Source organism: Homo sapiens, chromosome 15 (genome assembly GCF_000001405.40).
Source record: "Homo sapiens chromosome 15, GRCh38.p14 Primary Assembly".
In the NCBI taxonomy this organism is placed as follows: Eukaryota; Metazoa; Chordata; class Mammalia; order Primates; family Hominidae; genus Homo; species Homo sapiens.
The window spans coordinates 79823813-79840455 of NC_000015.10; the positions used below are offsets into that span (position 1 = coordinate 79823813).

General features: G+C 43.3%; 1 long non-coding RNA gene across 1 annotated transcript; it reads right to left on the bottom strand.

Moving 5' to 3' along the window:
- Window positions 1-239: 239 nt before the first annotated feature.
- LOC124903536 (uncharacterized) lies at window positions 240-16108 on the bottom strand. Its single transcript, XR_007064730.1, has 2 exons — window positions 9714-16108; window positions 240-9163 (listed from the first exon to the last, which is right to left on the bottom strand). It is a non-coding gene; the product is annotated as an uncharacterized LOC124903536 (long non-coding RNA).
- Window positions 16109-16643: the final 535 nt, after the last annotated feature.

Consider the following 16643-nt stretch of genomic DNA (forward strand, 5'->3'; position numbering starts at 1 on the left):
CATTCAGCGAAATTATGACTCCCACTAGGGATATATCATATTTTTTTCAAGGCTGAAATGAAAAGATATACAGTGTACTGTATACATAGGCCTATTATGCTGGGGAAAATATCAGAACTAGTTTTTGCTGTTTATGGAAGATCAATGATAAATCAACCTGTATAATCTGCAACTGACTGTTTCATTTGTTCTTTAATGTTCCACTGATCTTTTGGAAATGAAGGAACTTCACATAAAACATGTAGTTTGATGAACTTTAATCTTACCCATAATTGGATAACAAAATTGGGTACGTGGAGTAATTAAAAGGATTGTGATAAAAGAGTCGATCTGCAGTTTCACATTGAGCTTCTTCCATAAACCAAGGAGTTCAGTTCAGGGCATATTAGGAAACAAAAAACAGCCCCGTGGGCTAGAAAGCTACATTTTTATTGTTGTTGTTAGAGGGAAAGGTATTTACGGAGAAGATAGACCATGTCAGTGAGGGCTAATATTATCACCTAGGGAGCTCTGAGATAAGGACATCAGTTTTAAAGATTAGGCTTCGACCTGCTAGTGAGCAGGAAGTTAACTGCTCGATTTTTCCTTAAGTGAGGTCATTTTTCCAGACTATCTTTAGATTGGTCCATCTATTACACATTTTCCATTGTTGTCGGTTTTACAGAAATGCAGACTTGCAATTTGCACGTAAGCCTGCACGTGCCTAATCCTTGTTTCTGGGCTCTCCAGTAGTGCCTGTCATGCCTGCTCACAACCTTAAAAACGTCTCTCCTTTGCCCAGCTAAGCCCTGCTGGGCTGGCTCCCCACTCTTTTCTTGAGGCCTCCAAGTCCTGGTATCTGACCTCCAGGACCCTGAGCTGAACCTCCAGCAAAGCTACCACTCCTAGAGCATCCCCTCAACCTGGAGCAGTTCTCTCAATCACTGTTTTCTGGCTTTTTCAACACTTCTCCTAGGCCTGTTCCGGTCCCGCCTTGACCTGCTCCCAACCTCCCCATCCTCAACTACTAACTGACCCCAGACCCAACCTTGTGGATCATCTGCCCTCCAGACCAGCTGTAACTCAGCCACTGCACCAGGTCATTAGCCAGGCTACTCTAGTTCCTTCAAATGCTTGCCTTCCAATAACCCTTAAGAAGCTTTTCTTTGTATCACAGTACATGAAAATAAGGTTAGTTTCTCCATTGGAGAGGAGCCAGCAGGGGTGAGAAAGGGTTCCAGAGACGAGGGTCAGAACTGCACTCTAGTCCTACCACTGGTAGCTGGAAAAAGAACCTAATTTGGAGATACCGAATTATCAAGTGATAGTAAAATAGCCAACAGCCCACAAAGTGCTGATCTACAAGGCACAGATGTGAGATCAAAGTAAAACAATGGTTAGCAAAGGGACTGGTAAAGCACTGAACAGACATGAATGCTGCTACGCGTGGCCAGATCTGCTTTATAGATGAGGAAACTGCCCATCAAAAGAGCCAAGGTGACCCGTCCAAAGCCTCACAGAGAACAAGAGGCAAATTCAGGACTAGAATGCAGGCCAGTCTTCCTACATGCTAGGAATCAGTATTTTTGTTTTCTTCTTCTCTTTTTTAATAATCATATTACTTAGATTTTTGTGTATGATAAAACACACAAGACAGACATGGTAACATTTTGCATCCATTGATCTTTTTTCTATGCTGGTTCCTCCCCACCAAAATACAATTATTGTGATACACTGCTTTTATTTTATTTTTTTAAAAAAGAGCTTGGACATTCTTCCTCTTTAAATATTTGTGTATGATGTTTTTAATGACAACAGAGTGTACAACTGGCATGAATGTAGCAACCCCTTATTATTGTATGGTTGTATTTCACTGGGTAGCAGCAGTCATCACTATTACAATAAAACAGCCTCATGCTGAATATACTTGTATAGAACTTTTGCAAATCGCATACATTATTTCACTGGGATGAATTCCTGAAAGTAGAATGACAGGGTCAAAAGTCATAGAAAATTATAAGATTTTTGTTATATTCTGCCAACTTTCTCTCCAGAAAGACTAAAAAACATACACTCTCCCAGCAGTATGAGTGTCCATTTCCCTGCATCATAGCCCAAACTTAACTGGTTTGATTATTTTTTACTACTCACATGGTTTCAGCTTGCATTTCTTTGATGAAATGTGAAATTAAATAGTTCTTATATTTGTGGCTATCTGTGTCTCCTCTTGTGTGAATTACCTGTTTATGTCCTTTGCCCCTTTACCACTGGGCACACTTCATTGTTTTCCTACTGATTTGAGTAGCACTTACTGGGTAGCCACGGACTAGGACAACCATAGACCTCCAAAGTGGGAAGCATCCTCACATGAGCCAGAGAGAACCACAGGAACTGGTCTTGCTAGATAGCCCTGAGAAAAGGAATTGGACCATTTTGCCCTCCTGCATGAGCTCCACTTCTGCTGACAGCTGGTCCTGGAGAAGGCTGAAGCAGTTGAGGGAGGGTCCACAACAGGACACTACTGCCTCTGTTCTGATTCTGGAACGGGGGAAAGAAGATTGGGGTGGAGGTGAGGAGAAGAGAAGGGAAGGACAAGAGAAGAAAAGGAGAAAAGGAGGTGGGTGAGAGACGAAGGGGAGGGAGTTGGTGCAGGACAGTGGGGAATCCACTGGAGAGGAGCCAGCAGGGGTGAGAAAGGGTTCCAGAGACCAGGGTCAGAACTGCACTCTAGTCCTACCACTGGCAGCTGGAAAAGAACCTAATTTGGAGATACCCTCAAGCAGGCAAAGGAAACTTACATTAGTGGAGGGAGGAAGGGAAGGGGCAAGTGACTACTACAATTCCCAAGCCAAGTACCCTGGGCTTATACCTGATTCCCAGAATCCAAGTCCCTTTCCACAATATCCCTCTGCCTTCTGCATGAAAGCCATCGCAAATTAATGTACCTCTAAGAGGCAAATAACTTCCTCTTAGATTGAACTGCTAGCAAAAGACCAGTCATTTGTCATCTCTGATTAAAATGTCCATGGAAAAAATTAGAAATAATTCAGCAAAGAGAGCTACCACTCTCTCTTTGGAGAGAGTTACAGAATGCAAACTAAAGTCGAAGGTGGTGGTAAAGGCAGCATGCTGCCCCTCTGCATATCAGAATAACCAGGCTCCTTCCTGCCACTATATATACAGGGTTCATTGGGTGGGTGGGGTCACTAGGGTCACCAGAATATGCAACCAGAGCAAGAAGGACTCTAAAGAGCCACTTATTCAGTGCTTCTCAAGTGTGCCTTTGTCAGAAGCACTTGCTAGCACAACAAATCAGTCTTTTTTTTCTGGAAATTCTGGTTCAGTACATCTAGGATAGGACCAGAAAAATCAACATTTTTAAACAACAGACTAAGGTGGTTCTTATGATGTGGCAAGGAGTTGATTTTGTCCAGTGCATCTTACATTCAAATCACCCAAAGAGATTAAAAACCACTATCAGGGAGTTCCATTTCTGCCTTTGATAGGCTAATATATTCAGATCAACTCTACTACCAAGAACAAATAGAAATGCCCTGTTTGAACGCATCAGAGAGCTATCAAATGTGGTGAGGTCTTACGGCACCAAGATCTCAGAGAGAAAGAAAGCACAGAACTGAACCTGATATTTGGCACAGCTTTTTGCCTCAAAGCATTTGTTGATTCTTAAGAAAAACTTAAAAGCTGAGAAGTTGTGCTTTGTAGAAACTGATCAGTGAAGAAGCCAAGAGGAGAAATGAAGTAGAAACTGGCAGCCAGGAGTCTACAAAGCTAAGCAGAGCTTTGCTGCCCCACCATCCTGGGGAAACAAAAATAGTGCAGCCATCACCAAAAAGGAGCGGCCCTGGTATGCAACCCAAGCTTTCAGAAGGAACTCCTGAAGCCTGGGAATAAGGACTAACCCAAATAAGCCAGTATTCACAAAAACTAAAGACTGGCTTCAAATCTGCTCAATCCCAGACTGGATTATAACAATCTGCCCCTATCTTGACTTCCAAAAGCAGAAAGAAGTAAATGCTCTAAGGGGAAAATAGCATCATCCAGAGGCTCAAATTCTCTCTTCAGTTTTTCATACACAATGCCTGACATTCAATAAAAAGTTACAAAAACAAGACCAGGTGTGGTGGCGCTCATGTCTGTAATACCAGCAGTTTGGGAGGCGAGGCGGGCAGATCACGAGGCCAGGAGATCAAGACCATCCTGGATAACGTGGTGAAACCCCGTCTCTACTAAAAATACAAAAAAAAAAAAAATTAGCCAGGAGTGGTGGCATGTGCCTGTAGGCCCAGATACTTGGGAGGCTGAGGCAGGAAAATCGCTTGAATGCAGGAGGTGGAGGTTGCAGTGAGCCAAGAGATCACGCCACTGCACTCCAGCCTGGGCAACAGAGTGAGACTCCATCTCAAAAAAAAAAAACAAACTTTTTTTAAATAAATGAATTATGAAGCATATTGGGAGATGTGCAAGGCCAGAAACCAAGAGAAAAAATAGACATAGAAAGAAAAAGCTCTAAGGAGACTCTGATGTTGGAATGATCACACAAAGACTTTCAAAATAACTGATTAATATGTCCAAGAAATTAATTTTAGCAAAGAGTTAAAATCTATTTTAAAAAATCAAATGAAAATTCTAGAACTGAAAAATACAATAATTAAAACTAAGAACTAAATAGATGGGTTTAATAGCAAACTAGACACAGCTGATAAAAAGATTAGTGAATTCAGAGATAGGTCAATAGAAAATATCCACACTGAAAGAATGAGAGGAAAAAATGAATGGAAAATACAGGTGGTAGTAGAGGGGCATGTATGGGACATAATGGGACATGGCAAGCAGGTCCAACATACATGTACTTGGAGTCCTGGAGAGGAAAACAACAAATGGGTCAGAAACAATTTTTACAGACATGATGACTGAGAATTTTCCAACACTGACAAAAGGTATCAAATCACAGATTCTAGAAGTGTTATGAACCCTAGAGGAGTTCAAAGAAAACCACATTTAGGCACATGTAGTAAAACTGCTAAAAAACAAAAACAAATGGGAAAATCTTAAAAACAACCAAAGTTAAAAAGTAAATCAATTTTTAATTTATTAATCCATTATTTACTTTCATTATGTATTAATGGTCAATTATATCAGAATCTCTGAGAGTTAGGCCAGGGCATGGGGCAAGTGGAGAGGGCTTTTTACAAATATACATTCTAGAGCACCATTAGAGATTGTGATTGAGCCAACTTGGGGCAAGGCCCATGAATCAACATTTTCAGCCATCAACAATGGAGTTGATTCTGATGTAGAAGTTCACAAACTACACTTCCTCAAACGTAGCTCTGTCCTTATCCCTTTATAACTAAGGAAACAGAGGCCCATCCAGGTAAGACTGAGGTCAGCTCAAGGTTATACTGTGAATCAATGGCAGGGCCACAGATAGCACATTGTACAGTCACATGGCAATTCCAAGAAGCAACTCTTCTAACCTGGTACCTACAGGCATCCTAGTCCACAGCAAGGAAGGCAGGGGTCCCAAGTGCCTGTAAGGATTCTTAGCCACAGGAAAGATATCAGGAAGGGATTGAAAATACTTGCTCACCTCTACAGGACAGGCATGTGTGAGGCACTTTTACAAATTCCTTTTGATTCCAAAAGTGGGCCCAACTCTATACCATTTATCCAACTTACTATACTGTATTAAATGCTTGATCCATTATCTCTTTTAACCTTTACCACAAACCTATGAGGTAGATATTATTATCATTCCTCATTTTATAGAGGCACAGAGAAGTTAAGTGACATATACAGGGTCACACAGATAAGTGGGGGAGTCAGGAAATGAACCTATTTAGAGTATACATTACTCCTCCGTTCTACTGCCCAAACCTGACTCCCCTATCCCCACCCACCCACCAATTCTCACACACTTACCCTGCAGGTCAAAGGGTGGCTTCTTTAACATCTCCGGCTCTAGACTGTTTTTGGTGATGGGATAAGCCCAATGGAGCAAAAGGAGAACAGGAACTGGAACTGGACCCCTAGGTAATCACCCTAGCACCGCCACTCCACTCTGTGGATTCACCAAAGTTCCTTCCCTCCTGTGGAGGTCAATTTCTTCATTTGGAAAAGAGGGTTTTCATACCTATCTCATGATTGTGGTGAGATTAAATACCTTTGAAAGCCTTTCACTACTCCAAATGTGAGCTCCAGAGTGTGGCTGACATGGGAGGGGATAAGTGTGGGCTCTACTGTTCTTGGAAAGACCTAGGCACTGTGTCCCATAGTGGCTGGCTGCACCGTGGACGGCTCCCGAGAAGCTGGGAGGCTCAGTCTACAGAGTGACGCTGTGCTGCCGGCCCGCAGTGTGCCGCAGTGTTCATTTCCGCGAGAGCCTACGCCTTTACGAGGTGAGCTCATGCTCTGTCCACTATCCGCACAGCCGACAATTCCCACGTTATTAAATGGCTCACCTGGCTGCACTTATTTTATAAAATAGCATGAGCAGCCATGCAGTTATCTATAGGTTTTTCAGTAAACTTGGAAATCTGATCATCTCAGTCTCTGAAATTTCCCTTCTGGTGGCTGATGTTGATGAGATTTTTTTTTCCTACTTTTATCTAGGCTTTAATAAAAGGCTGATAGATTAAATGGTATGAAAAAAATGCTTTTTTACAAGTGATAATAATACAGACAGGGGTAATTCTGCGCAAAACTGTCAAGAGAATAAAATGAGGTATGGAACTCTCCCCTCTCCTTTTGTTACCTTTCATCTCCATGGCGGTTGGGGGCTGTGACCCACCTTCACCCCTGCTGCAGCTGCCCTGAGCTCAGCATCCTCAGGTGATTTTCTATGATATTTGGAAATCTTTTATAGCCCCTTTGCCCCTAGAAGAAAACTCCTATTGTGCTGCCTTCTACCAAATAACATGTTGGGGGTTTAGTAATCACATGACAAAGATCTTTCCTCTGCAGACAGGCCTATATCCCTGGGGTTCAAGGGGAAGGATTAGAGAGGAAAAGAGGGGAAGGTCGAGGCGGAGGTCAGGGATGAGCAATAAGAAGAGAGGAGGAAGAAGAGACAGAAGGATAAAGGGAGACAGGAAGAGGAAGATGGGTATGGAGGGGGAGAAGGGGGATGTGTAGTGGTTGGAACATCTGCAGAGACTGAAAAAGCAAGAAATGTAACAACTTGGTGAAGACACAAAGGCTTGTAAGGAAACCAAGAGAAAAGCCAGGTTTGGGGAAAATGTCAGAGTCCAACAGAATAGACTAGCCAGCTGGGGATGGGTTGAGTCTTGGGGCTTCATAACCAGAGAGAATTAAGCCTAAAGGGCATGCCTAAGCTAACAGAGACCCCATTGGGCCCAGCCTTCCTTGGAAGGAGCTGATTACTGCAGACCTGACCTGAAGGGCTGAGCTAAAGCAGCTGCTCTTGCCCTGGCCCAGGGTGTCCTGGTGGGAGGCAAGGTGAGGCCTTTGTGGCAGCCTCTTTGGCCATGTGAGGACGGCCTGGTCTAGCAAGCGGGTATAGGTCCTGCAGGGGAGACCAACGCTAAGCACCACAGGAAAGGAGCCCTATTCCCAGCCTTCCTGGTACGGGCCCAGTGACTGCCCCTTCAAATCTGTCACATTCCCATAGAAGCCTTTGTAGACTCAGGTACATGAGGTAACTCAAGCAACCAGGCCCAACGTGAGCTGGAAGCTTCAGGACCCCTGTGAGGGCTGGAGAAGAGAGCCAGGAGTCCTCCCCTTCCCCTGCACTCCAAATGAGGAGCAGGTAAAGGGCACTGAAAAGAACATGGGCTTTCAGATCAGAGGACACTTAGTTCCTTGGTTCAAATCCCAAGCCAGCACATCCTTGGAAGATGGCCTTGGCCTCAGTTTCATCTTCTATAAAATCAGGACAGTGATACTTCATAGTGTTGTGAAACTAGATATGCTAATATATGTAAATATATGGAAAGTAGTTGTTCCACACTTCCTCTTCCCCAGCTCCATGTGAGCACATGGAAGGACTTTGGCCAGAGCGACACACCTGTCCTTTCACTCCTCCTCCCCTCACTCCTCCTCACTCTGGGTGGTGAGTTACACAGAAGGAGCAGAGCATGTTAGATTCAGCCCCATCTGGTTTCTTTATTTTGGATCTGACCCCCCACAGGAAGAGTGCTCTTTCTTCAATACCACCTGTATTTTCCATTCATTTTTTCCTCTCATTCTTTCAGTGTGGACATGCCATGTGCTGAGCTCCTGCCCTAATGAGAAAGCCTACGGTGTCTGGCCAGTTCTTCTCGTGAATGGTTGGAGAATGGATGTCTCTGATGTAGGAGTCTAGTACTAGGAAGCTGTATACCCAGGCTACATCCACCAATCCATTATTAATCAAGCTGATCTTTCGACCTAGCCCCATATGACCCCTGTGTCTGTCAGGTGGTTCTGAACTCAGGGGAGGAAGAGTGATATTTGGTGGCTTTCTGATACATAGAAAGTACTCATTAGTACCAGCTACATATGCATCCCCAGAGGCAGGGTCCTTCCACTAAATCTTCTGGTGACTCTCAGTCCACCTGAAGGGACACTTATCCCCCTATATAAAGTAACCCCAAATGAGCAAGAATTGGTCAGCAAGCCATAGTCTTCCATTTCAGTTGTATGATGGACCTTGGGAAAAACAAGAGTTTTATTTCTAACTTGCCTCTGTCCCAGAATCTTGACACCACTCTGCTCTTTGTCAATGTGTGATCTTAAATGAGCCACCACATCCTCTGCTTAGAGCTCCCATCCTCAACCCACATATTTATTTGACTTCCTCCAAGAAAACTTCAGATACCATGGTCTGGAAGACACAGGTTGCTTCTCTTTCCTCTCCACTACCCCAGGTAGTTCTAATCACAGGGCCCTGATTCCCAACCCAAACAAGGCCAATCAGAGGCTCCCTTCCAGGGATTTAAATATTGAGCAGAGATACCCTGGTGGTACCCTAAGAGGTTTAAAAGTTTCTACCACTAAGATTTCTGGGGCTCCCCTGCTTTGTGTCCTTCCTGCTGCCTATGTTTAGTTTGATTTTGCAAACTCCCCAGTATCATTCTGTTGTAGTTCAAGTTCCCCAGGAAACAGATTGAGCTGGTGATTTGTGTGCAGAAAGATTACTGGAAAGTGCTCTCAGCAACAACACCTGTGAGGGAGGAAAGGAAGCAGGATTGAGCAGAGACTAGGACCTGAAATGAAACTGTGCACTGCACATAGGCCTCAGCCAATTCCTGGGGAGCTGGAGCTAGGATGGCCCTTCAGAGGTGTCCTGCCTTGAAGCAACGAAGGCTTTGCACCTCCAAAATGACCAGGTATTGGGTATAGGCTGCCATCAAGAAGGGGCTGTAACCTTGGGCAAGGTGGCCCTCCTTAGCCAAGGACAATTGCAGGGGAGGCCTCAGCTCAGAGCTACCTGCCGCCAACATCCTGGGAGCTGGAGGAGAGCATACCTCAGTCCTAATGAGGAATTGGGAGGCATGCCACAGCATCTAGTCCTCCTTCCAATAGCTCGCTTTTTTCTTACTTTAGTCTTTGCTTGAAGCAAAGAACCATAACTGATATACAAAGCAATCTTAGACTATAGACTCCAATTTACCTCCTGCTCTTAGAGACCCTCTTCAACATCTAAATCAAGGTTTATCTGTCCACCTCAAATTACCCCCCATTCAAAAACCAGAACAAGAACAAGAACTCACATCAACAGGAATGCTGTGCGAGCTGTTAAGCAGTGTGGGGTTCTGCTTGGCAATCAGTCTATGACTGTCAGCTCTTCATTTCCAGTAATGATGTACAGAAGGATGTTAGATGGGACTTCTCCTTTGGTCTAGAATTTTCCACAAAGCAAGGACAATAAATGACAAGTATCACCATATTCTAAAGAGAGGTAATGAACATGTTGTTTTAGACTGGGTCCCCAAAAAAGCAGTGCCTGGGACAAGGAATTGCATGCAGAAAGTATATTTTGGGAAATGATCCCCAAAAAACAGGAGTGGGGACTGGGAAGACGGAAACAGAAGGAAGGCCAATTTGAGGGTGAATTATCCACCTGGTTCCCACCATGGGCACAGAAGTTTGCTGCTACTAGCCTAACAATCCTCTCAGGAATGATGGAGAATACACCTCGGAATTGTCTGCCAAAGGGTTGGAAGACAAGATAATTTATCCACTGGCTTCTAATCCACACTGGCCAAGCATTCATTACCCCTTGAGGTGTTAACTACAACACACTTCCAGGTTTGTACATGCACCAGAATGACTGAGAAGGTCCTTGCAAGGGTCTCACTCAGATGTGACATTCCAGGGCTGAAAATCATGCAGGTGAGGAGAACTGCTGTCTGGCTTCACCTGTATGCAGCCAGTCTGCTGTACCCAATGGCTGGAGGGAAAAAAGTGGTCTGAAAGGATGTAGGTACAGGACAAGGGGTGTCCAACATGCACATCCACGCAGGATTTACCAACAGAGAGCCAGAATGGCTCTTTAGTCGCCGCCACCATCCTTCTCCAGGTTGTATTAGAAAAAAAGAGATTAAGCAGACTCTTTGAAGAAAGAGGACTTATAAGTGTAAGGGTGCTGTGACATTTTCCTTCCCCTCCCCACGATTCCCTGCCATCACTCCAAGCCAAGTAAAGGCTGCTTCAGAGTATGGAAGTGTTTGCCAAAAGAGGAATCTACCTCCTGGCAGAATCAGACACCCTGGTGCTACTGTTAGCTCTGGGAGGAGAGGAACAGCAGTTCCTGGGAGAATGTGACACGTGACTTCCAGCACTTGGGGAAGTAGCAGAACTCTGACAGTTGTGGACTGTCTGGAGCAGCCCTCAAGAGTAGCATGGGAGCAGGTGACACTTCCAGTCTGGCGTGCAGCCAATTACCTATTTAGTCGAGTAGTCACCTCAAGTGGAACTATTAATAGACTCAAGTCATCCTGAAAGGACTTGGTCAAGAAGGCTGCCACTGGGCTAGGGAACTTCAGGAGTGTGCTTCTGCAGGGCAGGATCTGAGCGGAGACTGTCAGAAGTAAGCTAGAGAATGGTACAATACACACAGTGCCAGCAGAGGTTCTCCATAAAAACCACAAAGGAAATCTAAGAAAATCCACTGGGCATTTGACACACAGAAGGCACTGATGGCCAGGTTATACTAGCACTGATTCGAGGTGGCTTTGCCTTTCTCCTTGACTGTCAGAACCTTCAAAGCCATTAGACAGGTTGTGGAGCAAGGAAAATGAAATTCTACACCAAGACTACGTCTGAGCTGGGAGAGGAGGGGGACATAGAAGAAAGAAACAAGCATAAAACTGGATAAGAAAATGAAATTTTGATTTAAGATTGGGCTGAACTTTTTGATCCCTGAAAATGGAACTTCTTTTTATATCTGAAATGTGACAAAAAAATGAAAAGATTTTCCCTAGATATGTTCCTGGGCAGGAAAGGCAGATCCAATTGATCTGAAAAAGAATAAGTTGATTGTACCTTCCAGGACTGGGAGTCATCCTTGAAACCAGATGTAGGCTGTGGTCCTCACCAGATGTTAGCACTTGGAGGACAAGAAGGCATATGAGACCAGAGAACATACCTGGGACCAGCTGCACACCTGCAGAAAGCCACTGGCTTGAGGACTATACTTCCTCCACCCTATGTAGCCATTTTTTTTTTTTTTGAGATGGGGTCTCACTCTGATGCCCAGGCTGGAGTGCAGTGATACAATCTTGGTTCACTGTAGCCTCAACCTCCTGGGCTCAAGTGATCCTCCCACCTCAGCATCCTGAGTAGCTGGGACTATAGGCACGTGCCATCATGCCCAACTAATTTTTTTAATTTGTAGAGACAAGATCTATGTTGCCCAGGCTGCCTGTGTAGCTTTGGTGTCAGAAGTCATCTCTGCCAGACAAAATCTGCTGCACCTGTAGACAACTGGATATGATTCTCATGGCTGGCAAGAGAGTATTCCAATTTAAGCTGAGCTGCCCCATGTCTGTCTGTGATATTTGCCTATTCTCACATTAAATTTACCTCTGGATAGCAGATTTTAGATCCCCTATAGAAGTGTTCCTCTAATTTTAACATGCAGAAGGCACCCTGGGGTGTTTATGTAAAATGCAAATTTCCAACCCCCATCCCCAGAGATTCTGATTTAAGAGGTAGTCTGTAGAAAACAGTTTGAAAAATAGTGCTCTAGAAAACAGTGCTGTCCAATAGGACTTTCTGTGATGACAGAAATAGAGCACTATTCAATATGGTAGGCACTAGCCAAATGAGCCTATGTAGCAGTTAAGATGTGGCTACCATCTTAACTGCTTACCAAGGAAGTAAGTTTTAAATTTTATTTAATTTTAATCAATTTAAGTTTAAATTGTCCCATGTGACTAGGGCTTCCACATTGGACAGTGCACCCTAGAATCTTGTTACTCAAAGTGGGCAGCAAACAACAAGCAGCAGCAGCAGCACCCAGGATTTGTCAGAAATGCAGAATTTCAGGCCCCACCCTAGACACCTCAGACCTACTGAATCACTATCTGCATTGTATCAAGATCCCCAGGTGATCCACGTGCCAATAAAGGTGAATACTCACTTTCTAGAATATTTTGGTGGTTCACTGACTCTTCCATTCCCGAATCATCCACTATCTGTTAACACACTTTCCTTGTTATAGACTAATTATCATATTCAATTGTTTAAATCTAGTTCTTACCCCACATTGTTGGTACCTAGCATTATTGGTCTGAAGGGTATAAAGTGTGTGTGTGTGTGTGTGTGTGTGTGTGTGTGTGTGTGTGTGTGTGTTTGCGTGTGCGTGCGCGCACATGGAGGAGGGTGGGGAGAAATGGGGATGGGGGGAGAGAGAGAGAGAGATAACGCAAGGTTATAACCAGGCTGGAAAGGGCCCTATCTGCAAGCTAAGGGTTTGGACTTTATTCCTTGGGCAATAGAGAACCATCAAAAGCTGTTAAGCAGGTAGGTGGCTTGGGCAGAGTTATGTTTTATGAAGATAATCATGGAAGTATGGAGGATGGCCTGGAGGATGGCCTGGAGTATGGAGGATGGCCACACAGATAACTAATCTCTACCGTCCTCTGGTTCTTACATTAAGTATACCTACAGGGAGTAGGACTTGCTATCTTATCTTACCCCTAGATTTGAGGAACAGCAAGTACTTAGGACTTATAGCAGTGTATCCATTCTACATGGTCAACATCTACAGTATCCCAACCCAGATCTTCAGAATAATATAGTATTCTTTATCTCTAAGCTTGGGAGGAAATAACAAACACTTTTGTATTTCAATCCTGAAGAGATTATTTCTCGGTGATAAACCAAATGTTTGCCATTTATAGTAGTGAACTCTTTGGGATCTGACTCATCATTGAAACAACAATTTGCTTTGAAAGTGTACTTTTCAAACATACTGTTTTAAGACTAAAAGGATAAATAAGACATTCACGGGACACATAATAATCAAAGCAATAAAATACTACAGGTTTTCCTTCAGATATCTTTTTCATTGGCAATGATATGGTCTGTTATCATAAGCCTCAATATTAAAATGAAAAACAGACCAGGCAGGGTGGTTCACGCCTGTAATCCCAGCACTTTGGGAGGCTGAGGCAGGCAGATCACCCGAGGTCAGGAGCTCAAGACCAGCCTGACCAACATGAAGAAACCCCATCTCTACTAAAAATACAAAATTAGCCTGGCATGGTGATGCATGCCTGTAATCCCAGCTACTCAGGAGGCTGAGGCAGGAGAATCACTTGAACCCAGGAGGCGGAGGTTGTAGTGAGCTGAGATCACACCATTGCACTCCAGCCTGGGCAACAAGAGCGAAACTCTGTCTCAAAAATAAATAAATAAAATAAAATAAAAAAACAGTTGCAACTGGTGATGGGAAGAGGCAGAAAATGGGAAGGGGAAGAGTAGGGGACTTAAAAAGTATTTCTAGTTTTTAATCTAGTCTTGGAAATCCTTCGATATACTCAGAGATAGATCCTGGCAGCCAGGGGAAGTCTGAAAGGGAAAGACCCAAAAGAAAGGGGTCTGTTGTTTCCTAGGTGACAGGGGTCTTAAAGGCACTCTGTTCTTAAAAGAATAACTTAAAGAAGTTATTCCACCCAAATACTGTGGGCAAAATAACAGCCCCAACCAGAGCATTCAGACAGAAGACAAAGAGGCTTGTATTGGGACACAGGGGGACCAGAAAGATGAAGAAATCCTGGGGAGGCCAGTACCAGCAAGAGGCTACACACACAGATACAGTCACCACACACAACAAAGGAGGGACTGATGGAGTTCATGACCCTGTAGCTCAAGCAGAGCTGCTAAGTGCAGTGACCAGTGAACCTAACCCACTGGGGTTTGGGAAGAAGACATTAGAACCTCTATTAATATTTACTTTTCATCTTTAAAAGACAAGAAATTGCATTTTGCTAAAAGTTAAAATTTAGATTGACATCAGCCCCTCCCTCCACTTGCAAATCAGAAGGTCCTATGTCAGGTACAGTACACAAGCTGTGGTGGGAGGTGGCAGGGGTGTAGGAGTTAGATAACGTGGGAGGGGTGTTTAGTTGATTTCAGCATATTGAGATGTACTGCAGTTCCTAGGTATGTGCCCAGACACAAGGGCTTACCTATTAGGTAGTTTTTACTAAACCGAGCCACTGGACAAGTAGCTTAAAAAGATTCTTGGTGGCTCACGCCTGTAATCCCAGCACTTTGGGAGGCCGAGGTGGGCAGATTATGAGGTCAGGAGATCAAGACCATCCTGGCTAACACGGTGAAACCCCATCTCTATTAAAAAAAAAAATACAAAAAAAATTAGCTGGGTGTGGTGGCACACACCTGTAGTCCCAGCTACTTGGGAGGCTGAGACAGGAGAATTGCGTAACCCGGGAAGCGGAGCTTGCAGCGAGCCGAGACCACACCACCGCACTCCAGCCCGGGAAACAGAGCGAGACTCCATCTCAAAAACAAAAACAAAAACAAAAAGATTCTTGCAAAGAAACAGCAGACCAAGGATAATTGTAATACAGGTTGAACATCCCAAATCGAAAAGCCAAAATCTGAAATGCTCCAAAATCCGAAACTTTTTGAGTGCCAACATAAGGCCCAAAGGAAATGTCCATGGGAGCATTTCAGATTTCAGACTTTCAGTTAAGGATGCTTACCTAGTAAGTATACAATGCAAATATTCCAAAATCTAAAAAAATCCAAAATCCAAAACACTTCTGGTCCCAAGATTTCAGAGAGGAGATATTCAGCCTGTAATGCAAGCAAAAATGACAACACTAGTTGATACTTCTGTTCCTGGTGCAAGCTGTTCATGAGCCAGGAAAAAACATTAAGTTTTACCAATAAGTCAGCCAAAAAATTTGAAACTATCACAAAGATTTTTTAAAGTAGGTATCTGTGTTCGCCATGGTTAATGATGAATCTCACTCTTCAGATACACACAATGAAAAGTGTGAAGCCATCACAATTAGCAGAAGCTACAGATCCGGAAGATAAGACGAACCTCCACCATGTGTTCAGCAATACTTAACATCATAAGATACTAACTCCAATACTTGTTAAGCAATGCTCACTAAATATAGTCATAAATGTTTATAAACCTTTCAAAAGTTTTCTCACTTAATAGCAAAAGACAAAAAGTAACATACCATTTAAAAATTACTTCTTCTTCATACCATGGAAATGTGGATGAAATACTGGTGAAACAATTTAGGGGGAAAAAGACCCTGACGCATCTTTTTGTCAGGAAGTACTATTGGATGACAAGTAGAAAACACTGCTGACAATCTGAAGAAATAAGTACAGGAAGAAATTTTTCAGGGCGTGAGGCTGAGTAGAAGGAGAGATGTTTCCAACATGTCTCCTCTTACGGTACCACTGCAGGAAGAAAGACATTAAGGTAGCGATGAAGTGGTGAGGATATATTTCTCAAAATTAATCTACCTTAAAAAAAAAAAACAAGTTTATTTTATGAGCAAACTAAGTCTAATCCCTGATGGAATGGCTACTTTGACTGAAATGTTTTTTTTAAAGGTGAGATGGGGCTGGGCACAGCAGCTCAGGCTTGTAATCCCAGCACTATGGAAGGCCGAGGTGGGCAGATCACTTGAGGCCAGGAGCTCAAGACTAGCCTGAGAAACATGGCAAAACCCCATCTCCACTAAAAATGCAAAAATTAGCTGGGTGTGGTGGCACACTCCTGTAATCCCAGCTACTTGGGTGGCTGAGGCAGGAGAATCGCTTGAACCCAGGAGGTGGAGGTTGCAGGGAGTCAAGATCACACGACTGCACTCCAGCCTGGGCAACAGACAGAGGCTCTGTCTCTAAATATATATATATATTTTATATATATATATATATATATAATATATTATATATAATATATATATATAATATATATAATATATTATATATATATATTTTATATTATATATTATATATATATATAAATATGAGATGGTAGATTCCACATTAAGAATTGAGCAACAGCATTACTAAATAATTCACAGGCAAGACTTTCATGTGCTAACAGTATCACTGATGTGAATTTTATAAAATTAAGAACTTCAACATGTAGTAGAATATTTACAACTCTTTGGGATGCAATAGGAGGTACCCATGAA